Source organism: Homo sapiens, chromosome 19 (genome assembly GCF_000001405.40).
Source record: "Homo sapiens chromosome 19, GRCh38.p14 Primary Assembly".
NCBI lineage: Eukaryota > Metazoa > Chordata > Mammalia > Primates > Hominidae > Homo > Homo sapiens.
Genome location: NC_000019.10, coordinates 56051256 through 56079133, shown reverse-complemented (window position 1 = coordinate 56079133; position 27878 = coordinate 56051256). Strand labels below are relative to the sequence as shown.

General features: G+C 46.8%; 1 protein-coding gene and 1 long non-coding RNA gene across 2 annotated transcripts in view; both read right to left on the bottom strand.

Annotated features, from left to right (window-relative positions):
* Positions 1-332: 332 nt before the first annotated feature.
* Positions 333-12450, bottom strand: LINC01864 (long intergenic non-protein coding RNA 1864). The gene is made up of 4 exons (NR_110741.1): positions 12159-12450; positions 2059-2573; positions 1792-1955; positions 333-1022 (listed from the first exon to the last, which is right to left on the bottom strand). It is a non-coding gene; the product is annotated as a long intergenic non-protein coding RNA 1864 (long non-coding RNA).
* Positions 17324-27878, bottom strand: part of NLRP5 (NLR family pyrin domain containing 5) — a 75036-nt gene continuing 64481 nt past the window's right edge. The window contains exons 13-15 of the mRNA NM_001433705.1: positions 25326-25496; positions 20724-20894; positions 17324-17738 (exon numbers count right to left, since the gene is read on the bottom strand). Of these exons, the coding sequence (NP_001420634.1) occupies positions 17606-17738; positions 20724-20894; positions 25326-25496 (475 nt within the window). The 3' untranslated portion in view covers positions 17324-17605. The remainder of the gene's footprint in view (positions 17739-20723; positions 20895-25325; positions 25497-27878) is intronic.

Genomic DNA, 27878 nt, shown 5'->3' with positions numbered 1-27878 from the left:
TATTTTTTCTTGAGGCAGAGTCTTGCTCTGTCACCCACACTGCAGTGCAGTGGCATGATCTTGGCTCACTGCAACCTCCACCTCCCAGGTTCAAGTGATTCTTGTGCCTCAGCCTCCTGAGTAGCTGGGACCACACGTGTGCGCCACCACCCTGGCTAATTTTTATTTTTCTTGGAGATGGGGTTTTACCATGTTGGCCAGGCTGGTCTCAAACTCTTGGCTTCAAGTGATCTGCCCCCGTCAGTCTCCCAAAGTGCTGGGATTATAGGCGTGAGCCACCGCACCTGGCCTGATATATATATTTTTTTAAATAGAGAAGCTGGCAAGACAGATTTAGTAACATGTAACATCATAATTATTAGACTTTCTTCCTTAATATCTCCATGATTCAAGCCAGCAACAGTATGTTGAAAGAAAAACAGTGGAATACCTCCATGAGAACCAAATAAAACATACTGCTGTAGACCAAGCTCGTCCAACCCACCTTATTTTGTTGCTGTTCTGTTTTAGGCTTTTAGCAGCCTGAAATCATGGATTTTAGTTTCTGTCTCTAGTGATAAGTGGAAAAGAGGGATGAGGAAGGGTCTTTACTGGTCCAACCGCAAACAGAAACTGAGAACCTATGACTGTATTCTCTACCTTGGACACCCCTGCTTAGTCTGTTCAGGCTGCTCTAAGAGAATACGTAGTGTGTGTGTCTTAAACAACAGACACTAATTTCTCACAGTTCTGGAGGATGGAAGTCCAAGATCAGGGTGCTGGCATGTCTGGTGTCTGGTGAGGGCTGCTTCCCAGCGTGCGGACGGTGGCCTTCTCCCTGTGTCCTCCTGGGAAGGAAAACAGGAAAATTGGGCAGAGAGAGAAGGAACATGTCTCACATGTCTCCTCTCTGATAAAAGAAAAACTTCAGCCGAATTAAATTTAAAGGAGTTTAATGGAGCAATGAATGATTCGCGAATCACGCAGCCCCCAGAATCACAGCCGATTCACAGAGACTCCAGCGCGACCATGTGGTGCAAGATCTGTAGACATAAAAAAGGGAAAGATGTACAGAAATCGGAGGTGAGGTACAGAAAAGCTGGACTGGTAAACAGCCCGGCATCTGCCTTAATTTAAATTTTTATTTTTGAGATGGAGCTTCTTTCACCCAGGCTGGAGTGAAGTGGTGTGATCTCGGCTCACTGCAACCTCTGCCTCCCGGGTTCAAGTGATTTTCCTGCCTCAGCCTCCCGAGTCGCTGGGATTACAGGCTCCAGCCACCACGCCCGGCTAATTTTTTGTATTTTTAGTAGAGATGATGGGGTTTCACCACGTTGGCCAGGCTGGTCTTGAACTCCTGACTTCAGGTGATCCGCCCACCTCAGCCTCCCAAAGTGCTAGGATTACAGGTGTGAGCCACTGCATCTGGCCTAATTTTTGTATTTTTAGTAGAGATGAGGTTTCGCCATGTTGGCCAGGCTGGTCTCGAACTTCTGACCTCAGGTGATCTGCCCGCCTCGGCCTCCCAAAGGGCTGGGATCACAGGCGTGAGCCGCTACACCCAGCCTGTCACCTGTGTTTGAACAAGTCCTCACCCACTCTTTCCCACGTGGTCCCTCACATCGCCTGCCTGGCATTTGAGTTTGTGACCCCCAACCCCAAGCGTGTGTCAGGATAGGACCGGTTATGCTGCAAGCAAACAGCCCCCATGTCAGGGGCTCACAACACTCAACATTTTATCTTGTTTGTGTTCCGTGCCTGCCATGGGTTGCGGGGAGCTCTGCTCCACGTTGTCAACTCTCTGGGACTCACCATTTGCCGTGGCCAGGCAGAGAGACTTGGCAAATCGTGTACTGCTCTTGAAGTCTCCAGCCAGAAGCGACACACACTTCTTCTGCTCTGGGTTCATCCCCCACAGCAAGGCACATGGCCATGCCCAGCTTTCAGGGAGCCGGAAAGTAAGTCCTATTTTGTGTCTGGGAGGGAAAATGGGAAAATTGGGCAAAGGATTAGTTATTCTGGGTATAATCCAACATGCTGGTTCTCAGAAACCAAACGAGCCTCAACCGTGCATCTCACCTGAGTCTATATTCTCAGTGTTCTCTGTCCTGTGGTCTCAGTGATGGGTCCTGTTCCTTTTACCTGGGGCAACCCCCGGCCCAGCTGGTTCCACCAATGCCAGAACTGGCCTGGATGCTTCTCCACTTCAGCCCTGAGCCTGGGCTGAAGCTGCTGAGGCTCTGCATCCCGCTGGCCTCCTTCCTCTGGATGAGGAGGTAAAGATGATTGCTCACAGTTGGAGGTAGGGTGTCAGAGAGCCCTCTGGGAGCTGCAGATGCACTGTCATTCCTGGTGGGATGAAACACTGCCCAGACCACATCTGGTTCTGTGGCTCCATCTACCTGCCTCTCCTTAGCTGCATTCGCCACTGTGACTGGTGCAATACAGAAATGCTCACTGCAACTGGGCAAGGTCAATATTCTTATTCCGGACCTTCCTTAGGGCCGGTAGGGAAGTGCTGGTTTCTCTCAGCTCTCTGCTGCCACCACCTGGATTCTTGAGAACTGCAGTGTCTGTGAAATGAAGTCGTGGTCCTGGATAAAGGACGGTAAAGTGTTATTATATAACATACCATGTAAAGGCATGGATCTGTGTTAGATAGACAGTGTTTTTGTTCATCTGGTAAAAGTCACATAACAAAATGAACCCATTTTAAAGTGCACAATTCAGTTAGCATTTGGTACATTTACAGTGTTGTAGAACCATCATTTCTGTCTAGTTCCAAAACATTTTTGTCATCCAAAAAGGAGACCTTGTATCCATTAGACAGTCACTCCCCATTCCCACCTTTGCCTCAGTCACCACAAGCTGATTTGAGACAGGCCTCGTTTTGCATCAAGGGTGGTGATTTCTTCAGCATTCCACACAGGAGGAGCTTAGGCCCAGCATTCTGCATGGTGAGCGGAGCCTGGGGCTTGTCTTGAAGCTGGACTTGCTTGTATAGCAAGTGCTGTTTCCTTATGTGTGTGTGTGTTTAGGTTATTTGGGAAAGGATGGCTCATGAAGAGTATATGGTGGTGGTAGGGGAAAAACTTTAGGGTCCTGGTCAGCAACGTACGAGTCTTACCATCCTGTTCAAGAGACCAACCTTTCTGAGCTCCAGCTTTTTCGTCCTTTAAAGATGGTAAATGATGTTTATCTCGCATATTTACTTTGAAGATTGAAGGAGATAACTTACGCAAAGAACTGAGCAAAGGCCAGGTGCGGTGGCTCACGCCTGTAATCCCAGCACTTTGAGAGGTCAAGGCGGGCAGATCACCTGAGGTCAGGAGTTCAAGACCAGCCTGGCCAACACAGCAAAATGCTGTCTTTACTAAAAATACAAAAGTTAGCCGGGCGTGGTGGCATGCACCTGTAATCACAGCTACTCGGGAGGCTGAGGCAGGAGAATCGCTTGAACCTGGGAGGCGGAGGTTGCAGTGAGCCAAGATCACACCACTGCACTCCAGCCTGGGCAACAGATCAAGACTGTCTCAAACACACACACACACACCCCCAAGCCAAAGAACTGAGCCAAGTGACTGTCAAATAGAGGTAACTGGTAGGTGGTCCTGGTTCTTCTTCCTCATCATCAACAGAGCCTGAACCTTGACAACTCATTCTGGGGGCTTAACCACAGTAAGTCACTTGGGACTCCCAACTAGAGTTAGGAACCCAAAAAGCATTCATGATATTTGGTTGCTGCTGTAGCTTAGAAGACAGACAATCTGCCAGTGTGGAAAATGCATTAGGGTTCTTCGAGAAGCAGAATCAATATTCTGTATGTGTGCGTGTAGTCATGTGCTGCATGACATTCCAAACAATGGGCTGCACGGACCATGATGGTCGCATAAGATTATGCTGCTGGAAAATGTCTTCGACCTGGTGCTGTCATAGGCCTTGTAACATCACAGTGCAATGCACAACTCACATGCGTGTGGTGATGTGGTAAACAGGCCAACTGTGCTGCCAATGGTATAAAAGTTGGGCACATACCAGCCTGACCAACAAGGTGAAATCCCGTCTCTACTAAAAATAAAAAAATTAGCTGGGCATGGTGGCTCACACCTGTAATCCCAGCACTTTGGGAGGCTGAGGCAGACGGATCACCTGAGGTCAGGAGTTCGAGACCAGCCTGACCAACATGGTGAAACCCCATCTCTACCAAAGATAAAAAAATTAGCTGGGCATGGTGGCACGTGCCTGTAATCCCAGCTACTCAGGAGGCTGAGGCAGGATTGCTTGAACCCAGGAGGCAGAGACTGCAATGAGCTGAGATCCTGTCACTGCACTCCAGCCTAGGAGACAGAGCAAGATTCTGTCTCAAAAAACAACAACAACAAAAACACACAAAACTAACAAACAAAAAATTAGCCGCGCATGGTGGTGCACACCTGTAGTCTCAGCTATTCTGCTCGGGAGGCTGAGGCAGGAGAATCGCTTCAACCTGGAAGGCAGAGGTTGCAGTGAGCCAAGATCACGCCATTGCACATATAATTATGTACAGCACTTAGTACTTGATAATGGTAATAAATGACTATGTTACTGGTTCATGTATTTACTATACTTTTTTTTTTTTGAGATGGAGTCTTGCCTTGTCACCCAGGCTGGAGTGCAGTGGCGCAATCTTGGCTCACTGCAGCCTCTGCGTCTCAGGTTCAAGCGATCCCCCAACCTCAGTCTCCTGAGTAGCTGGGACCACAGGCACATACCACCACACCCGGCTAATTTTTTTGTATTTTTGGTAGAGATGGGTCTCACTATGTTGCCCAGGCTAGTCTTGAGCTCCTGAGCTCAAGTGATCTGCCCGCCTCAGCCTCCCAAAGTGCTGGGATTATAATTGTCAGCCACGGCCCCTGGGTATACTATAATTTTTAAACGTTATTTTAGAGCATACTCCTACTTACAAAAAAAAAAAAACCGATTAATTGTAGAGCAGCCTCAGGCAGGTCCTTCTGGAGGAACCCAGAAGAACCGTTGTCATAGAAGAAGACAGCCCCATGTATGTCACTGCCCCTGAAGACCTTCTAGGGGGACAAGATACGGAGTTAGAAGAGAAGGATCTTGACGATCCTGACTCTGTGCAGGCTAGACTAATGTGTGTGTGTGTCTTTCTTAATCAAAAATTAAAACGTTAAAGAAATTAGGAAAAAGATTATAGAATAAGGATGTACAGCAAGAAAATCTTTCTATACAGTTGCACAATGCACATGTGTGCATGCGTGTGTGTGTGTGTGTGTGTGTGTGTGTGTGTGTTTAGAGACAGTCAGGCTCTCTTGTCCAGGCTGGAGAGCATGGTATGAACATAGCTCACTGCAGTCTTGAACTACTGGGCTCAAGCGATCCTCCCACCTCAGCCTCCCAAGTAGCTGGGACTATAGGCATGTGCCACCATGCCCGGCTAATTAAAAAATAATTATTTCCTGTAGAGGTGGGGTCTATGTTGTACAGGCTGGTCTTGAACTCCTAAGGGTGATCCTCCTGCCTCAGTCTCTCCAAGTGCTGAGATTACAGGTGTAAGCCATCGTGTCTGATCTATGTTTGTGTTTTAAGCTAAGTGTTATTACGAGAGTCAAAAAATTAAAAAAAAAAATTAAAAGTTAGCTGGGCACAGTGGCTTATACCTGTAATCCCAGCACTTTGGGAGGCCGAGGCAGATGGAGCACCTGAGGTGAGGAGTTCAAGACCAGCCTGGCCAACATGGTGAAACCCCATCTCTACTAAAAATACAAAAATTAGCTGGGCGTGGTGGCAGGTGCCCGTAGTCCCAGCTATTCGGGAGGCTGAGGCAGGAGAATCGCTTGAACGCAGGAGGCAGAGGTTGCAGTGAGCCGAGATCACACCATTGCACTCCAGCCTGGGCGACAGAGTGAGACTTTGTCTCAAAAATAAGTAAATAAAAGTTTATAAAGTAAAAATGTTACAGTAAGCTAAGGTTAATTTATTCTTGAAGAAAGAAAAATATTTTATAAATTATGGTAGCCTAAGTGTGCAGTGTTTATAAAGTCTACAGCAGTGTAGAGTAACGTCCCAGTCTTCACATTCACCCACCACTCACACACCGACTCACCCAGAGCAGCTTCCATGTCTACAAACTTCATTCATGGTAAGTGCCCCATATAGGTATACCATCTTCAAATATTTTCTTTGGTATTTTGTTGTAACTTTTCTACGTTTAAATATATAAATACTTAGTGTTGTGTTACCGTTGCCTACAGTATTCAGTACAGTAACATGTTGTCCAGGTTTTAGCCTAAAAACAATAGGCTCTAAGAGCAAATAGGCTCCAGCCTGTGCAATACAGCGAGAGTCCATCTCTACAGAAAATAACAATTATTTTTTGAGATGGAGTCTGGCTCACATCTGTAATCCCAGCACTTTGGGAGGCCGAGGCGGGCGGATCACAAGGTCAGGAGATTGAGACCATCCTGGCTAACACAGTGAAACCCCGTCTCTACTAAAAATACAAAAATTAGCTGGGTGTGGTAGTGGGCGCCTGTAGTCCCAGCTACTCAGGAGGCTGAGGCAGGAGAATGGCGTGAACCCGGGAGGCGGAGCTTGCAGTGAGCTGAGATCGCACCACTGCACTTCAGCCTGGGTGACACAGCAAGACTCCGTCTCTAAATGAATGAATGAATGAATGAATGAATGAAACGGAGTCTTGCTCTGTCACCCAGGCTGGAGTGCAGTGGTGCAATCTCGGCTCACTGCAACCTCCGTCTCCCAGGTTCCCGCAATTCTCCTCCCTCGGCTTTCGAAGTAGCTGGGACTACAGGCGTGCGCCACCATGCCCAGCTGCTTTTTATATTTATAGTAGAGATGGGGTTTTCTCCATGTTGGCCAGGCTGGTCTCGAACTCCTGACCTCAGGTGATCCACCTGCCTCGGCCTCCCAAAGTGCTGGGATTACAGGCATGAGCCACCACACCCAGCCTAGAAAATAATTATTTTTTAAATTAGCTGGGCATGGTGGCACATGCCTGTAGTCCCAGCTGCTTGGGAGGCTGAGGTGGGAGGATGGCTTGAGCCCTGTAGTTCAAGGCTGCAGTGAGCTGTGATTATGCCACTTCTCTCCATATAGCCTAGGTGTATGGTAGGCTGTATTATCTAGTTTTGTGTAAATACACTTGATATTTGCACACGACTGATGATGCAGTTCTCAGAACAGAGAAAGAGGTTTATGATGAGAATTGTCTCACGTGATTGTGGAGGCTGAGGAGTCTCACGATCTGCCGTCTGCAGGCTGGAGAAACAGGAATGCCTGTGGGGTGGTTCCAGTCCAAGTCCAAAGGCCTGAGAACCAGAGGAGCCAAGGGTGCAAATCCCAGTTCCAGGGCGGGAGAAGATAGGCGTCCCCACTCCAACAGGCAGGCGGGGAGCAAACAGGGTAAATGACTCCCTCTACACCTTTTTGTTCTATTCAGACTCTCATGAGATGAGTCCACTCACAGAAGGGAGGGAAATCTGCATTACTAAGTCCACGAATTCAAACAGTAATCTCAACCAGAAACACCCTCCCAGACACACTCAGAAACAATGCTTAATCTGGGAACCCCGTGGCTCAGGCATGTTGATATATAAAACCTACTATCACAGACAAGCAGGTCCAGTGTGTGGCGGGTTTGGCAAGAGGTTGGGCTAGGGCCTTAACCTGAGCGGTCCTGTGTACCCTCAACCGTTCAAGCTGCCAGGAGGCTCCTTTCCAGGATTGCACCACTGATCCCTGGCACCCAGCTCATAACCCTTACAGAAATGCAGGTAACAGAGGAACAGTCAGTCCAGGACAAACAGGAAACACAGACAAGCTGGTCTGCAAGATCCTCATCTCCAGCAGGGGTCAGCAAAATGCCCCAAAGGCCAAATGGAGCCAGCCGCCTGTTTCTGAAAATAAAATTTCATGAGAACACAGCCACACCCATTTGCTTTTGTGTTTTCTTCAAAATGTTTATATTTTTTTAATTAAAAAATTTTAAATGGACAAAAATTATATATATTTATGGTGTGCAATCTGCTGTTTTGAAATATGTTTACAGCCAGGTGTGGTGGCTCACTCCTGTAATCCTAGCACTTTGGGAGGCCGAGGCAGATGGATCACCTGAGGTCAGGAGTTCCAGACCAGCCTGGCCAACATGGTGAAACCTCATCTCTACTAATACAAAAATTAGCTGGGTGTGGTGGTGGGCACCTGTAATCCCAGCTACTTGGGAGGCTGAGGCAGGAGAATTGCTTGAACCTGGGAGGCAGAGGTTGCAGTGAGCCAAGATCCTGCCATTGCATTCCAGCCTGGGTGACAGAGCAATACTCCATTAAAAAAAATGTATACATTATGGAATGGCTAAATTGAGCTGATTAACTTGTACGTTACCTTACATGCTTTTTTTTTTTTTTTTTTTTTTGTGGTAAGAACATTTAACATCAGGGCTAGGTGTGGTGGCTTGTGACTGTAATCCCTGCACTTTGGGAGGCTGAGGCAGGAGGATCCCTTGAGCCCAGTTCAAGACCAGCCTGGGCAACATAGGGAGACCCTGTCTCAACAAAACAAAAAAACACTTAACATCTACTTACTTAGCAAGTTTCAAGTACGTGATATTTTGCTGTTAACTATAGTCACCACGTTGTACGACAATAGGTCTCCTGAACTTATTCCTCCTGTAACATCAACATTTATATCCTTTGACCAACACCTCCCCAGACTCCACCTCCCCATCACTTTCAGCCTCTGGTAACCATCATTCTGCTCTCTGCTTCTGTGAGTTTGACTTTAGATTCCATATATAACTGAGATCATGCAATACAGATGCTCTTCCATTTACAACGGGGCTACGTCCTGATAAACCCACTATAAGTTGAAAATACAGGTTGAAAATACTTTTTAATTTTTGAGACAGTGTCTCACTCTGTCACCATGACTGGAGTGCAGTGGTACAATCATGACTCACTGTAGTCTCGGTCTCCTGGGCTCAAACCATCCTCCTGCCTCAGCCTCCTGAGTAGCTGGGACTACAGGTGTGCACCACGTCTGGCTAATTAAAAAACAAATTTTTTTTTTTTAGAGATGGGGTCTCTATGTTGCCCAGTCTAGGGAAATGCATTTAATATATTTAACCCACAGAAGGTCATAGCTTAGCCTACCCTACCTTACACCTGGCTCCTAATGCTTACATTATTCTCCAGTTGGGTAAAATCATCCAACACAAAGTCCATTTTATAATAAAGTGTTGACTATTTCATGTGATTGATGGCATACTGAAAGTGAAAGACAGATGGTTCTGTGGGTACTCGAAGGACAGTTGTTACTGAACGAATGTCACTTTCACACCAGTGTAAGTAAGGTCAAATCCATCACAAGTCAGGGACCATCTGTATCTTCCTGTGCCTGGCTCATTTTATTTAATGTAATATCCTCCAGGTTCATCCATGTTGCATGTGACAAAATTCTCTTTGTATTTTCTATGCTTGTTTTTACCCTGTATCGGCAGAGCTGAGCAGTTACAATAGACCTATGCTTGTTTTTACCCTGTATCAGCAGAGCTGAGCAGTTACAATAGACTAAATGGCCCCCAAAGCCTAAAATATTTGCTGTTTGGCTCTTTTTTGGAGACAGGATCTCACTCTGTTGCCCTGGCTGGAGTGCAGTGGTGCGATCATGGCTCACTGCAGCCTTGACCTCCTGGGGTCAAGTGATTTTTGCACCTCAGCCTCCTGAGTAGCTGGGACCACAGGCGTGCACTACCACACCTGGCTAATTTTTTTTCAAGTTTATTTTTTGTAGAGACAGAGTCTCACTACATTTCCCAGGCTGGTCTTGAACTCCTGGGCTCAAGTGATGCTCCCGCCTTGGCCTCCCAAAGTGCTGAGATTGTAAGCATGAACCACCATACCTGGCCTATTTGGCCTTTTACAGAAAAAAATTGCCAACCCCTGGTTTATGGTCTTAGTCAGGACTTGTCTTCGCTCTTCTCCTCCAGAGTTTCCTTCTCTTTTCTGTCTCCATCAAACAGGGTCCTCACCCTCCAGCCCGTATTCTCTCTGACCAACACTTGTGGTACACTCAGAGCTTCGTTTTTGCAGTTCTGGCTTTGAGAGTGTGATCTGAAGAGCACTTGCATCAGAATGGCTTAGGAAAGCTTTTTAAAATTCATATTCCCAGGCTTCACCTGGGTCCCGCCATACCAGAATTGGCCGTGGGGCTCAGGAACCTGAAGCTTGCTCTCTCCCCAGTTGAGACAGTCTCACTCTGTTGCCCAGGCTGGAGTGCAGTGGCATGATCTTGGCTCACTGCAACCTCTGTCTCCTGGGTTCAAGTGATACTTGTGCCTCAGCTTCCCAAGCAGCTGGGATTACAGGCGCCTGCCACCATACCCAGCTAAATTTTTTGTTTTTAATACAGATGGGGTTTCACCACATTGGCCAGGCTGATCTTGAACTCCTGACCTCAAGTGACCCACCCACCTTGGCCTCCCAAATTGCTGGGATTATAGGCGTGAGCCACCACACCCTGCCAGGTTTCTAAGATATTTTCAGGCTAATGAAAACTTCACAAGCCCTGGATACTGTGCTGATAACACCCCCTGCATAAAAGTACAGCCCTGAGCTCTCTCCACTCTGCAAACCACATCTTCCACTTTCACTAATAAATTTCCAGCCTAATTTCCTGCCTTTTAACTGCTTTATTTCCTCAGGAATTCTGAATCAGATCTCAGATGGAGGCAACTATATTGGTTCATCATTTTTTGCTTTTTAAAAAATAATTTACAAACCATGGAATTCACCCATTTTAAGGTGTACAATTAAATAATGCTTTAGTATATTCACATAGTTGTACGTCTATCACTCCAAAAGGAAACCCCGTGCCAGGAAGAGTCACTCATTCCCTGCTCCTCTCCCAGCCCTGGGCAAACTCTCATCTTGTGTCTCTGTGGATTTCCCTCTTCTGGTCATTTCATATCAATGGAATCATACAAGTGGCCTTTTGTATCTGGCTTCTTTACAGTGGATAATGTTTATGAGGTTGATCCATGTTGTAGCACGTATCGCTACTATATTCCTTTATTCCTTTTTTTTTTAAATTGAGATGGAGTCTTACTTTGTTGCCCAGGCTGGAGTGCAGTGGTGCCATCTCGGCTCACTGCAACCTCCGCCTCCTGGGTTCAAGTGATTCTCCTGCCTCAGCCTCCTGCGTACCTGGGATTACAGGTACACGCTATTACCCTGGGCTAATTTTTGTATTTTTAGTAGAGACGAGGTTTCACTATGTTGGCCAGGCTGGACTTGAACCCCTGACCTCAGGTGACCTGCCTGCTGCAGCCTCCCAAAGTGCTAGAAGTACAGGAATGAGCCACTGCACCTGTTGTTTTTTTTTTTTTTTTAATGAGACAGGGTTTCACTCTGTCACCCAAGCTGGAGACTGCAGTGGTACAATCTCGGTTCACTGCAGCCTTGACCTCCCAGGCTCAAGTGATCCTCCCACCTCAGCCTCCCAACGGGCTGAGACTATAGGCTTGTACCGCCATACCTATTTAATTTTTAGTATTTCTAGTAGTGACGGGGTTTCGCCATGTTGCACAGGCTGGTCTCAAATTCCTGGGTTCAAGTGAGCCTCCCAACTCAGCCTCCCTAAGTGCTGGGATTACAGGCATGAACCACTGTACCCAGCCTGCATTCTTTTTTTCATGGCTGAATAATATTTCATTGTGTGGATAGACCACATTTTGTTTACCCATTCATCTGCTGATAGACACGTGGGTTGTCTGCACCTTTTGGCTGTTGTGAACAAGGATACCTACTTCATCTCTTACCTTGGTCACAGGCGGCCTACAGGTCATTAGGCAGCTTAAAGACTGGCTGTTCTTCAAACGCTAGCTCCTGGTCCAGTCAGCTGCAATGGAGGCCAGCTGCTTGGGTCATTCATCCAGGACCCCGGCTCAGAATGGCTTTGCACTCAGTATAGTGACTCACAGTCATCTTGAAATTCTTAATTTTTGAACAAAGCACCCACATTTTCATTTTACACCTGGGCCTCCAGATAATCTTGGTTGATTCCATTTTGACAATGGGGAATAAAGCTAAAGAACAAACCTACATTCTTGGGTGTCTGCTAAGCAGCTGTCACCTCCAATAGAACCAACAAGTGGCTGATACCTTCTGAGCAGGGCTGACACGGATTTCCTGTGAGCCAGTCGCGTCCGGCGAGGGGAAGGGGAGGCCGCTGGGTGTGCTGGTGAGGGAGGGCTCCCTGCTTCCCGTGGACCAGCGGGTCTCAGGCTGGTGCCCCGGGTAACATCCGGCTGTGTCTGAAGACTTTCTTGGTTGTCACAACTGCGGGAGGGAAGGCACCTGGCAGGTAAAAGCAGGGACGTCACTGAACACCCTACAGCCCACAGGCGGGACCCCGATGTGGAAGTGGCCGGTCCCACCGTCAGCAGTGCCTGCGGTGAGAAAATCCACAGTGGGGATGCGGGGAGGAGCCCGCCCTGCTCCCGGGAGGGTCTCAGGGAAGATGACGCTCTGCTGCCACCCAGCGGCCATCAGGGGAAACTCAACCAGGGAGCTGGCGTCCCGCGGGGTTCACTGACCCTGGAATTGCCTTCCCAGGAAGCTTCTACGCAGTGATCTCAGGTGGACGTTCTGTGCCATGCAGCTCAAAGCATCAGAGTTTGTGCGGCTCCACACACACCCCAGCTACAGCGTGGCTGGCAGGTGGAGGTGAATTCTCTATCGTTTGACTCACGGGTGAGGAAAGGGTCCTTCCTCATAGAGATAAGAGCCCAGATCAGCAGGGAGACAGCGCTCCCACCTGTCCTACCCACGATGTGATGCACCAGGCAGCGGGGGCCTGGGACTCCCCACGGTTGCCCTCCAGGACCGGGTCCGTTGCCTTCCTGATGCTCTTCCCTCCCCGTGGTACAAATGTTAAAAACAAACAACAAGACAAAACGAAAAACTATGTAGGAAGGGTACATTTTCATGGTATGTCATGTCCCAAACTTGACGAAAAACCAGCAGTGCAGAAAAAAGTTTTTCTCAGACCTCAAAGATAGCTAGTCTAGAAAAATAGAATAGTCCTAGTCTCTTGCGAACCTGCCATTTTAGCTGTGAGAACAGCTGCAATTCATGCATTTGTCCTTCATTAGAAGGTAATACATTTTAGGAGAACAGGGATCTTTGTCCTGCACTATCAGCCTGAGGGCAGCGGCCAGCACATAGGGTTATAGGGTTTATACAGACTCATCATTACTTCATCCTCTACGTTTAGGAATTTAGAATAAGAAACAAGGAGTTGGGTAGAAATCAAGGTATCATCCCTATTATTCAAAGCTCTGAGGCCAGGCTGGGTATGGTCACTCACACCTGTAATCCCAGTGCTTTGGGAGGATAAGGCGGGTGGATCAACTGAGGTCAGGAGTTCGAGACCAGCCTGGCCAACATGGAGAAACCCCATCGCTACTAAAAATACAAAAACTAGCCAGGCGTGGTGGCGGGTACCTGTAGTCCCCACTACTCAGGAGGCTGAGGCATGAGAATTGCTTGAACCCGGGAGGCGGAGGTTGCAGCGAGCCTAGATTGTACCATTGCAACCCAGCCTGGGTGACAAGAGCAAAACTGTCTCAAAAAAAAAAAAAAAAAAAAAAAAAAAAAAAAACACCAACCCCCGTCCCCCCGCCCGCCACCACACACACACACAGACTCTGAGGCAAGTGGTCTGTATCTGCAGCCTCCTAGCACTTCGCCACAATCAGTATTCCGCCCACCCATCCCACCCTCAGCAAAGCTTGCTGCATGAAAGAGGAAAGTGTGTACACATCTGGAGACAGGAGGCTTGTGAAGAGCACTTAGAAGGTCCAGTTCCTCCCTCCTAGCCGTAGCACCTGGGTAACTCCCTCTACCCTTGGAAATGGCCAAGAGGCTCAAGAGAAAGAAACTCTTTTCCAACAGGCAGCAGTGAGTAGAACACAGCTTTCTGCCAGTGTGGAGTAGTGCATCAGATTCTAGGCGGTTTCATGATCCTCATCCTGGTGTTCCCATCTTGCCAGATCCCCTTCCCTCAAGTGTGGGAGGGGCTTGTGACTTACTTCTATCCAAACGGAATGTGGCAGGGTTGATGGGATCTGACTTCTGTGATGCCATGAGATTGTAAGTCTGTCTTGCTGAGTGACTGTTTTGCTGGCTTTGAAGATCCAATCTGCCATATGGAGACGGCCAAGCAGAAAAGAGCTGGGGATGGCCTGGGGCTGACAGTCAAGAAACCAAGGCCCTCAGTCCAGCAGCCTGAAAATGGATGTTCCTGGGACCTGCATGAACTTGGAAGAGGTCCTTGTCCCGGTTGGGTCTCAGATGAGACCACAGCCCTGGTCAACACCTTCATCGCAGCCTTGTGAGACCCTGAGACAGAGGATCCAGCTGAGTCATATCTGGACTCAAACACCGAGATCACGTGTTTTAACTGCCGAGTTTGTGGTAATGTTGTAAACAGCAACAAACAACTAATACAAGTAGGTAAATATTGGTGGAGTGAATGTTCCAGCCACTTCTACAGCTGATTTACAGAGATTCATCTCTTCTTGATTCTATAGGGTAAGTACAATTTTTCCTACTTTACAGATAAGAAATCAAAAGCCCATGGAGGTTGACATTTGTATAGTGTCATAAAAATCATTCGAAACAGCCAGAATTTGAACACAGGTCAGCATAAAAAACTTGAAGCTGGGCACAGTGGCTCACACCTGTAATTGCAGAACTTTGGGAGGCTGAGGCAGGAGGATCACTTGAGCCCAAGAGTTCAAGACTAGCCTGGGCAAGATAATGAGATGTTTCTAAAAAATAAAAATATTGTTTCTAAACTTGGCTTTTCCCTTTGACCTTCCCTTTGGCTGTAACTTTACAAAGTGGGATATTTGTAACTGTTGGGGGTGGGGTAGGCAGCAGTGCTCAAGATAATGCACTGGACACAGGAGGGCATTGTGTATTTTTAGCTATATACAAGGTGATAGATCTTTAACAAGACTAACATAGTAATGCTTTGTTAACACAAACATTAATGGTGGTTTCCTTGCCCCCCTCCCCCCCCCTTTTTTTTTGAGACAGAGTCTGGCTCTGTTGTGCAGGCTGGAGTGCAGTGGCACGATCTTGGCTCACTACAAGCTCCGTCTCCCGGGTTCACGCCATTCTCCTGCCTCAGCCTCCCAAGTAGTTGGGACTACAGGCACCCACCACCACGCCTGGCTAATTTTTTGTATTTTTAGTAGAGATGGGGTTTCACCGTGTTAGCCAGGATGGTCTCAATCTCCTGACCTCGTGATCTGCCCACCTCAGCCTCCCCAAGTGCTGGGATTACAGGCGTGAGCCACTGCACCCGGCCTCCTTGCCCTGTCTTTATGTTAGATGGGCCTGTGTCCCATGTGGGAGAAGAGGTATCCTGAAGACAGATACTCTGATTCGGAAGGGCTTTTCCCCCACTACTTCACCCATTCACCTCGTAAACCCTATCACATTGGTCCAATGTCCAAGTATTTTATAAACAAACACTCCCAGAACACACAAGTATTTAAAAAGTATTCCTGCAAAGAAACCATAGGTTGAAGATAATGCTAATACTATAACCACAAATAAACTGCAGAGTTGACGTTCCTCCTATATCTGATATAAACTTTATTAGCTCCATTGCAATGGGAGCAGAAAAGGGGGCATGCCAGCCCCTGTCTAATATACGCTGACAGGGAATGATGCTAGAACATTCCCCCGGTTTGAAAGGGGCTGCTGGAGTTAGAGGTTTACACACAGTACAGTGAATGGCTCGTGGAAGGTGGTTGTATGGTAGAGGCAACATTTCAATGAGTAGAATGAACTCCAGAAATGGATTTCCTGGGTCTGAATGGCAGCTCTGCTACTTACTGGCTGTGCATTCTTTTTTTTGAGATGGAGTCTCGCTCTGTCACCCAGGCTGGATTGCAGTGGCATGATCTCAGCACACTGCAAGCTCTGCCTCCCGGGTTCGAGTGATTCTCCTGCCTCAGCCTCCCGAGTAGCTGGGATTACAGGCATGAACCACCACACGGGGCTAATTTTTGTATGTTTAGTAGAGACGGGGTTTCACCATGTTGGCCAGGTTGGTCTCGAACCACCGATCTCAAGTGTTCCGCCTGCCTCAGCCTCCCAAAGTGCTGGGATTACAGGTGTGAGCTGCCCCGCCCGGCCTTGCTGTGCATTATTTTCTGCACCTCAATGTCCTCATCTGTAAGATGGAAGCAAAAAATATACTTACCTCTAAGGTGTTGTAAAGACCAAATAAGTTAATTCATACTGCTTAGGACAGGGCATGGTATACAGGGCTGTGTTAGATTATCATCATTCATCATCGTCATCATGGATGAGAGAAATAAATACAAGAAATCATAAGAAGTATATTTTGGTAAGAATGTAAGAGTTTTCCACTCTTCTAGGAATAGACTGATGGTTCTGTAGCCATGGTAATAAGTAGCTACCTAGACAGGTTTAAATCCATTAAATGGATCCAAGACAACTTACCTCAGTGAACATGCTTTTGCAAGCCAATCAACAGCTGCCCTTTGCATTGGAAATTCAGCCAGTCAGAAGGGATGCACTCTGATGAACACACCTCTACCAATCAGCCTCACCTGAGTAACCACAGGCCAACTTACACCTTCAAGGTTTAGCCTCATTCTGTACCTCCCCAAATTCCTCCCCACAAAGATCAGAAGTCTGCTCTACTCAGAGATACTGTGGTAGACCAGCTTTTCATTACACTAAGGAATAAATTCGGCTTTATGTTTATAGTTCAGATATTGAGTGACAGTAACACCATCCTTTGGTATTCAGGTATGTGCTTTAAAAAACTAGTAGTTGGCCAGGTGCAGTGGCTCACGTCTGTAATCCCAGCACTTTGGGAGGCTGAGGCAGGCAGATCACGAGCTCAAGAGATTGAGACCATCCTGGCCAACATGGTGAAACCCTGTCTCTACTAAAAGTACAAAAAGTTAGCCGGGCGTGGTGGCGGGTGCCTGTGGTCCCAGCTACTTGGGAGGCTGAGGCAGGAGAATGCTGTGAACCCAGGAGGCAGGGGTTGCAGTGAGCCAAGATCGTGCCACTGCACTCCAGCCTGGGCAACAGAGTAAGACTCCATCTCAAAAAAAAAAAAAAAACAAAAAACAAAAAGAAAAACACAAAAAACAAAAAACCACCACTAGTTGTGGTACCCAAATTCAGGGGCTGCTTTTGAAGATCTAGGTCCTCCCAACCTCTCTGCTCCTAAACCATATCCCCACTAGTTAAGAAAACCACTTGACAACTTTTCCAAATGCTTTGTGTTTATTTAATTCCCTCTATATGCTCTGAGATATGACGGACATTTCACAGATACTGAGTCCTATGACTTGAAGGTCTCTAGCCTTCAAATCCAGTAACCAACGTAGAGTGAACACAGAAGAATCACTACCATTGAGGGCTTTGTGAGAATCAGAAATCATTCTCCATCTTTGAGAAGGAACTCCCAGGTGCATAGCTTGCTCTGAGAAAACAGCGTTTAAAGTTCCTCCATCAGATGGGTGTGAGTGGGGCAGGTTTCCGTATCTTCAGTTTTTCCACCAGTACCGGTCATCTTCATCAAAAGAATGCCAACTACCGTCAATTACGACTCGGGGCTTGAGTAGCTGCACTTCCTCCAGCAGCTTCCTTATTTGCACAGGGTACTGCCATTTCCACAGCCTGGGGAGGCAGAGAGAGGACTCGTTACTGAGATGTTGCTTTCGACTCTTCTCCCTTCTTCAAAATTCCTGGTAGCCTCATCAAGGATCTCAAACCTTTTCTTGTACTCTTAAGGAACGTGCCCCAAAGAGTTAAACCAATGACTAACAAATTATTGAGTTTGTAGGATGGCAGACAAGAAAAGAAACAGCTTGCTGAAACATGGAGACTCCCCCTCCACTTATGAAAGAACTGGCTGAAATCGGTTAGAAAAAGTATGGCAGACTGGAGTTTGCACAGAATGAGCTTGCTGATGTCACAGCCTGAATTTCCACCATGTTTTATACTAACTCTCCCTAAATTGGCACATGCAACCCATGATGTAGCATGAATAGATAATTATGCATGCCCAGTGACTTTCTAGATCTCCTCTTTTCTTCCAATCACCTACTAATCTCAAGATCTACTCCCTGAACCTTTTCTAATAATAATGCTGCCTTGAAGCCAGCATGGGGAGACAGATTTGAGCTTGACTCCTGTCTCCTTGTGAGTTGACCTGCAATATAGGGCTTTTTTCCCCCGACAAATCTCCAGTGTCACAGTATTGGCCTCTAGCACATCAGGCAGTGAGCCACTTTTGCTTGATAACAGTAGCATGTTCCCTATAGAATAAAAGTAATTCTCTGCATGTAAAAAAACTTGGATATGTCAGATACTATGCTGAGCTTTTAAAGGCATCTGTTCCTTACAACAGTCCTAACAGTCCTAAGATGCAGGCATGACCTTTCAGTCCATCCATGAATTCCTTCCTCAGAGTCTCTGTGCCGGGTCGTGTTATAGGGTTTGGGGAGGTACAGTAAGTTCTCCCTTAATGTCATTGATAGGTTCTTGGAAACAGTGACTTTAAGCAAAACTACTAGAGCAGATTCTCGAAGAACGTCATTTTCTTCAGAGTCATTGCTATAACAACGAGAAAACATTGGTTTCATTATATGTCGTTTTGCTTAAAGTCACAGTTTCTAAGAATGTATCAATGACATTAAATGAGGACTTCTCATATAGGGATGGACAAGGCAAATTTCCCACCCTTACCAAGCTTATAGTCTACTAGAGGAGAAATAAACATATTTAAATAGATACATAGCACCGCCCCCATTTCACAGATGGGGAAATAGACCCATAATAGGTCAATCAGTAAATCCAGGTCTGACTTCTATCCTACTTCAACTACTAAGTCCCATAGTCACCACTGATCTTGTCAATGGCTATAGTGCCTCATAAATCAAGGATATAAACACATTCTTTCAACAGCACTCCACCTTTTCAGCTCATTTTGTCACTGTAACAGTCCTGACCAAACCAAGACTCCCAGATTCATTGAGCCATGTTTCTCAATTCACCTTCCTCATCCTGTCTTCACCTTCCTCCTATGATTCCAGGGTCTACCACAGCCACTCTTGACTTCTTCCTGGTTATACCCATGTGCCATAACTTGAACCCTGGATAAACTCAACTGCCATCAGCTGGACCATACTGGAGAAAACAGTTACTCAACTGAGAAATTTTCTATTGATATAAATATACCACAAGGAAGTCGGGCGTGGTGGCTCATGCCTGTCATCCAGCACTTTGGGAGGCTGAAGCTGGTGGATCATATGAGGTCAGGAATTTGAGACCAGCCTGGTGAAAACTCTTCTCTACTAAAAATGTAAAAATTAGCTGGGCGTGGTGGCACGTACCTATAATCCCAGCCACTCAGGAGGCTGAGGCAGCAGAATTGCTTGAACCTGCGAGACGGAGGTTGCAGTGAGCTAAGATTGCACCCCTGCACTCCAGCCTGGAGGCAACAGAGTGAGACTCCATCTCAAAAAACTTAAAATAAAATAAATATACCACAACCAACCTCAAATGGGCTATCAATGCTGCCAGCTGTACATTTCTCTGGTCAAGATTTTACTCCCTTCAAGTACAACTGTGTTCCTTCATGCTCAGGGAAGTCTCTGAACTCCTGTTAGTCTACGGATATGAGCTCCTAAATGACAAATGCTTTTTCTACCACTAAACACTGAAGACATCAGTGAACTGCCACTTTGTCATGAAAGAAACTTCTAGTCTTAAGAGATGGTCCTGAAGAACTTCTGTGAACTCCATCAACTCAGCCCTCCAGACTTGTACAAGGACTGAATGAGAGGGGAAGCTGAAATGATGTGTGTGAGCTACTGAAGAAACTTCCTGCTAGGTGAATTGTTCAGTGCTGTTAACTACATTCACACGGCTGTGCAAGCATCACCACAACCATCTATCGCCAGAATTCTTCATCTTGCAAAACTAAAACTCTGCACCTATTACACAACTCCCCAACCCCTCACCCCAATCCTTTGGAAATCACCATTCTGTCTCTATGAATTTCACTCTTATAAGTACCTCTTCGAGGTAGAATCCTACAGTATTTGTCTTTTTAGGACTGGCTTATTCCACTCGGCATGTCAAGATTCCATCATGTAGCATGTGTCAGAATTTTCTTTTTGAGACTGAATACAATTCCATTGTTGGTATACACCACATTCTGCTTATCCTTTCATCCACGAGCGCCTGGGTTACTTCCACCTCTTGGCTATTATTGTGCATTATGCCACTATGAACATGGGTGTGAAATCTGAGATCTTCCTTTTAATTCTTTTGGGTAACATACTCAGAAGTAAGATTGCTGGATCATATAGCAATTCTAGTTTTTTCAGCATAAACATTTATAACGTTCTTTCTGTGCCCTTCCCAACCTACCCAGAAGTGAACTCCATGATATCAGGCACCTGGCCTCTATCTCCCATATTCCTGTATCTCCAGCATCCAGCATGGTACTCAGAACGTAGTGGGCACTCACCAATGGAGTAAAATGTGGCTCCCAAGGTATGACGTCAACTTTTCCCATAAACTGCTTCTCCACCAGCTAACAAGCCTGGAACAGAAGCAGGTCTGTATCTCAGAAGACAATTGCTGGCGACTTACCCAATTATCTGTAAGTTAGACGTGGGACAGGCAAAGGCCGAACACAGCTTCATCATTCCTTTGGGACTGAAGTTATTCTGCACCAGGTTTAGACTGGTCAGATGCCGGTTGCAGGAAAGGGCCAAGGAGAGTGCCTCACAGCAATCAGAAGTCAGTCCACATGCCTTCAACCTGCAGGGTCAGGACACCCAGAAAATAACCCCAAAGATCGATGATGGACCCTTCATTCAACCCGTATGAATTTCACCTTGATACTTTTTCTTTGGGAAAACAAAACAAAACAAAAACAAACAAAAAATGAAACTGGTGGGCTCTGCCTCCCAGTTTCTGGTTTAGTTGTTCTGATGAAAGACCCAAATATTCGCCTTTTTTTTTTTTTTTTGAGATAGCATTTCACTCTTGTTGCCCAGACTGGAGTGCAGTAGCACAATCTTGGCTCACTGCAACCTTCTACCTCTGGGATTCAAGCGATACTCCTGCCTTAGCCTCCGGAGTAGCTGGGATTATGGGCACGTGCCACCATGCCTGGCTAATTTTTTGTATTTTTAGTAGAAACAGAGTTTCATCATGTTGGCCAGGTTGGTCTTGAACTCCTGACCTCACATGATCCACCTGCCTCAGCCTCCCAAAGTGCTGGAATTACAGGCATGAGCCACTGCACCCGGCCAAATATTTGCATTTCTAACGAGTTCCCAGGTGAGGCTACTGTGCTTGGTTCTCACTTTGAGAGATGGTGGGTAACTCAAATTATAGTTGTGGAAAACAATGAAAGAAAGGCTGAGAGTGCCTGTAGCAAGGAAACATAACAAGGAACACAGACCTGCAGAGAAAGCAACACTGCACCTGAAGAAAGGTGAGAAGGCGGAAGGACATATTGACATATGCATTGATATAAAAAAATCACCTGTACACTGTGCTTGCGGAAAGGAGACACATTTGAGAAACAAAGATGACTAGATGGCTAGAAAAGAGTCCCAGACAGTGGTGAGAGCGGAGGCTGGGCACCTAGGTCATACTAAGGGTTTAGAATTTCATCTTAAGAGCAACAGAAAGCCAAGGGACCTCATTGAATATAATAATGGCATTTTATAGGCGTGTTCTATTTTGAAGGGAGCACGCTGGTTATTTTGGGGTGGATGTCAAAATCCGTAAGCTGCTCTGAAATAGTTCACCAGATATACTAAAATACTAATGATTGTTTAAATTAGGTGGTGGGTATATAGGTTTTACATGTCCTAATCATTCTAGATTGAAAAAGAAAAAATCCAAAATGCACAGACTGAGTCTTGCTCTATCGCTGAGGCTGGGGTGTGGTGGCACGAGCTCGACTCACTGCGACCTCCACCTCCCCAGTTCAAGTGATTCTCCTGACTCAGCCTCCTGAGTAGCTGGGATTACAAGCGCCTGCCACCATGCCTAATTTTTGTATTTTTAGTATAGACGGGGTTTCATCATGTTGGCCAGTCTGGTCTCGAACTCCTGACCTCAAGTGATCCACTGGCCTCAGCCTCCCAAAGTGCTGGGATTACAGGCGTGCACCACCGCACCCGGCTGGAATTCTTATGATAGAATAAAAAGTTAATGAGATGCAGCTCAAGTTGTTTTAGCCACCTATGGCGAGATGGTGAGATAAGATTGAATGCTTATTTTTCATTTTGCTTCTAAAATAATATCTAAGCATTTATAAAGACAAAACATCCAGTAGGGAGGCTGAGGATAGAGGCAAGGGAGAGGTAAATCAGTGATGGTATAAGGTGCTGCACACGGATGATTGTGGGATTCCCATCGTGGAGGAAACTAACCTCTGATTAACATGGGTTAAATTAACTACCGCAGGGATGCTTTTGTTTTTTAGAAATAGAGTCTCGCTCTGTTGCCCAGGCTGGAGTGCAGTGGCACGTTCTCGGTTCACTGCAACCTCCGCCTCCCAGGTTCCAGTGATTCTCCTGCCTCAGCCTCCTGAGTAGCTGGGATTACAGGCGTACGCCACCAAGCCCGGCTAACTTTTATATTTTTAGTAGAGATGGGGTTTTCCTATGTTGGCACACTGGTCTCGAACTCTTGACCTCAGGTGATCCACCCCCCTCAGCCTCCCATAGTGCTGGGATGACAGTCATGAGCCACCACACCCGGCCATGCTTTCTTTATTGTTACAGGAGGAAGTGTGTACTGGTGCAGATCATAGTTGGCTTCTTGATAGAAGATTTAGGGCTTTCCTAGTAAATGATTTTATATTATTTGAAGGGGTAGGAGTTATTTGTGAAGCACCCAGTAGAACAAGGTAGGTGCGCATGTCTCCAGGGAATGAATTGTTGTGAAATTGACTCAGGTGGTGGGGAAAACGAGTGGACCAGACAACTAATGCTGGGAAAACAAATTTACATCCATGATCCCTGACTGCACACAACAGCAACTCGCCATTGCCTGTTTTGATCCTGTGATTCTCAGCTACCAAAGAGCAGAGAGGGTGGAGAGTGCGGTTCAGTGAAGCTTGGAGTGTTTGTAGGTGGACACACCCCAGAACAGAAGGCTAAGGGAGACACTGCATTTAGAAGACAGAAAAACAGGCCAGGCGCGGTGGCTTATGCCTGTAATCCCAGCACTTTGGGAGGCCAAGGCGGGCAGATCATGAGGTCAGGAGATTGAGACCATCCTGGCTAACACGGTGAAACCCCGTCTCTACTAAAAATACAAAAAATTAGCCGGGCGTGGTGGCGGGCACCTGTAGTCCCAGCTACTTGGGAGGCTGAGGCAGGAGAATGGGGTGAACCTGGGAGGCGGAGCTTGCAGTGAGCTGAGATCGCGCCACTGCACTCCAGCCTGGGGGACAGAGCAAGACTCTATCTTAAAAAAAAAAAAAAAAAAAAAAAAAAGACAGAGAAAGAAAAATAGAACATGGAGCTAAAAGATGAGTGATGGTATTATAGTAAGATAAGTAAGCCTTGATTTAATAAGAAATAAGATAAAGTTTAATAAAATCATAAAAATAAAACACAAAGCTAGATCGAAGAGGAACTAAAGAAGGGACATGACCACGTAGAAAGAAGTTGAGGGGACAGAGAACCAAGGTGTGATGAGCTTGAAGAACAATGTGTGACTTCAAGAAGGAAAAGGGTCCCGGCCAGGCGCGGTGGCTCACGCCTGTCATCCCAGCACTTTGGGAGGCTGAGGCCGGCGGATCACTTGAGGTCAGAAGTTTAAAAGCAGCCTGGCTAACACGGTGAAACCCTGTCTCTGCTAAACATACAAAAAAAAGTAGCCGGGCATGGTGGCAGGCACCTGTAGTCCCAGCTACTCGGGAGGCTGAGGCTTGAACTCGGAAGGCGGAGATTCCAGGGAGCCGAGATTGTGCCACTGCACTCCAGCCTGGGTGACAGAGTAAGACTCTGTCTCAAAAAAAAAAAAAAAAAAAAAAAAAGGGGAGGGGTGCCCAGATTAAAGCCTCTTACTCAACACAATAGGAATGTGACCTCCCCTAGTGCCATGGAGGGTTATAAGCAGCACACATACAAGACTAGTGCATGGTCAGTGCTCACACATGGTAAACATTCCATTCTAGAGTAGTTCACAGTGCGCTGCAGCCACCTCTGCTAGCTTCCAGAATATTTCCATCACCGTAAAAGGAAACCCCATACCAATTCAGCTGCCCCCCTTCTACTTCCCATTCCCTCTAGCCATGACAACCCCTCTACTTTATGTACGAACTTGACTGTTTTGGGTATTTTATACAAATGGAATTATACACCAGGTGACCTTTTGTGGCTGGCTTCTTTCACTCAGCACGACGTTTTCAAGGCTCATCCATGTGGTGGAACGTATCAGCACGTTTTTTTTTTTTTTTTTCACTTTTTTTGAGATGGAGTCTCACTCTGTCACCCAAGCTGGAGTGCAGTGGTGTGGTCTCGGCTCACTGCAACCTCCACCTCCTGGGTTCAAGTGATTCTCCTGCCTCAGCCTCCCGAATAGCTGGGATTACAAGCATGCGCCACCACACCTGGCTAATTTTTGTATTTTTAGTAGAGACAGGGTTTCCCAGTGTTGGCCCAGCTGGTCTTGAACTCCTGACCTCAAGTGATCTGCCCACCTTGGCCTCCCAAAGTGCTGGTGTTACAGGCGTGAGCCCCTGTGCCCAGCCTCAGCACTTTTCTTTTCATGGCTGAACCATAGTCCACTATATTGGAGCTCTGTCTTAAGCCCCTGGCTGGCTCTGATGCTCACTGAAGTTTTAAGGACCACTCAGGTAATCACTTGCTTTCTGCCCGTCTTTGTCTCTAGACTGTTCACACTACAACACAAAGGTCTTTTCACTTCCATACTTCCGCCATTTAGCACCAGGACTAGCACGCAGGGGTCGTTCAATCGGCAGTTGAGGGTTTTCTACCTCCAGACCTTGTTCCCAAGCATTTGCCACTTCATCCGTCTCATCCATAGGAGCCGAGCTGGAACTTATACCCAGATCTGTGGTGCTGCGAAGGTTGCACTCCATCTAACTTGAGGGACTCATGGAAACCAGATCATCATCATCCCTGTTCAAGCAACCTCATGCTGGGGTCCCCCACCTCCTCCCAGCCCGGCCCGCAAAGAGGCGCCCCAGGAAGTTACCCGAGTCTCGCCAGAACACTGTTCTTTTGCTTCAGTCCCTCGCACAGCGCAGCAACCCCACCGTCACCCAGGGCATTGTCCGTGAGATCCAGGCTCTTCAGGTGTCTGCTCCTCGAGATCACACAGGACAGACTCTCACAGCACGCGGCGGTGAGATGACACTTTACCAACCTGCAAGAGGCGGGGAATAGAGAGAGTCTGCCTCTCTCGAGGAAAGTGGAACAGCGGGAGAAGGTTCAGCAGCATTAACTGGAGTTTCCTTTATTCCTTCCTGACGGGCCACTGTTTTGTCCACTCCTGTGAACAGCTTAGACCACGTGGTATCTGTTGGCTTGAGAGAGGAATGATAGCGGAGGCGGGGAAAGTGTCTGGTGTGATTGAAGGTATCTTTATTTTTTAATTAATTTTTTTTGAGATGGAGTTTTGCTCTTGTTGCCCATGCTGGAGTGCAATGGTGTGATCTCGGCTCACTGCAACCTCCACCTCCCAGGTTCAAGCTATTCTCCCTTCCTCAGCCTCCCGAATAGCTGGGATTACAGGCACGTGCCACTGTGCCCAGCTAATTTTGTATTTTTAGTAGAGACGGGGTTTCTCCATGTTGGTAAGGCTGGTCTCAAACTCCTGACCTCAGGTGATCCGCCTGCCTCGGCCTCTCAAAGTGCTGGGATTACAGGCTTGAGCCACTACGCCCAGCCTATTTTTTATTTTTTTCAAGACAAAGTCTCACTCTGTTGCCCAGGCTGGAGTGCAATGGCACGATATCGGCTCACTGCAACCTCCACCTCCTGGGTTCAAGCAATTCTCCTGCCTCAGCCTCCCCAGTAGCTGGGATTACAGGCATGTGCCACCACACCTGGCTAAAGGTATCTTTAAAAGAAATGAGCACAGCAGAGTTTGCTTCCACTTGGAGATGAGGTCAAGATTCTCCACGGGGGAGGAGGAGAAACTGGAAAGATTCTGACAGAGCCAAGATGGAGAGAAAAGGGGACAGAAGTTACTGAAATGCTGATAGGTCTGGAATCCAAAAGGGGAAGTTTTGTGCTTCTATTCTTAGGAAAAATGGGGAAGATGGGGTGGGTGGCCCCATAAATAACATCTGAATGGTTTATCGCAGGAGAAATGACTGAAACGGCCTCCAAGTCTGTCTTCAGCTTGGGAGGCTAAGGGTAGGATGATAGCACTGGGGAGGGGGATGGTCCATCCTCAGGAGCCATCGGGTGAAGAATAAAGAGGGATGCAGGCTGGGTACAGTGGCTCACGCCTCTAATCCCAGCACTTTGGGAGGCCAAGGTGAGTGGATCACCTGAGGTCAGGAGTTTGAGACCAGCCTGACCAACATGGTGAAACCCCGTCTCTACTAAAAATACAAAAAAGTAGCTGGGCATGGTGGCAGGTGCCTGTAATCCCAGCTTCTCGGGAGGCTGAGGCAGGAGAATTGCTTGAACCCAGGAGGTGGAGGTTGCAGGGAACTGAGATTGCGCTATTGCACTCCAGCCTGGGCAACAAGAAAGAACCTCTGTCTCAAAACAAAAACAGAAACAAAAACAAAAACAAAAACAAAACAAAACAAAACCCCACCAAAACCAAACAAAACACACAAAAATCCAAACCAAAACAAAGCAAAGCAAAAAACAAACAAAAGAAAAAACGGATGCAGTTGTGAGGGCCAACCCTTGAAGACCAGGTAGGGGTGACCTAGTCATTGGCGCTAGCATGGATAAATGGTGATGGAGAGATCCAGTTAATCTCCCAGCACTTAAATGCCATCTCAAAAAAATGATGTCTCTAATTGACTAAGATTCTACACCATGCAGAAGTAGGGCTTGAAACAATTAAAACAAATGGTAGAATTAATACTTGGGGGCACTCAGAAGTTTGTGAACTAGAATCCATACCAAAGTCCTTTATTTTATTCTTGGGAAGGGAGAGATCTCAAAATGATACCCCACTTGTGGTCCATTAATTCTGCCTTTGTAATGAATAAGCAAATGCTACCAAGCATACAAGCGTTTGGAATGAAATCATTTATGCTCATGATGAAAACACTAGATATAAGGTACGTGTCCAGCTTTAGGAGATTTTTAAATTTTAGGAGATTTTTAAAGCCTACACCATTCAATGGAATACCTTACTGTACTTCATTTATTATAATAGACATATCCTCAGACACAATGTGAGACCAATGCCAAAGTTTTGGTTTCTTGGGAGTTCAGTTCTCCACTGGATATGATGGGGGGGTGGTGAGACTACATGAGATTAGATATAGAAAATATTTAGTGCTCTGCCTGCCACATGTTAAGAATGCATTAAGTGCTTGGCGGGGTGCAGTGGCTCACACCTGTAATCCCAGCACTTTGGGAGGCCAAAGTGGGTGGATTGCCTGAGGTCAGGAGTTCAAGACCAGCCTGGCCGACATGGTGAAACTCCGTCTCTACTAAAAGTACAAAAATTAGCCGGGACTGGTGGCACATGCCTGTAATCCCAGCTACTCAGGAGGCTGAGGCAGAAAAATCGCTCAAACCTGGAACGCGGAGGTTGCAGTGAGCAGAGATC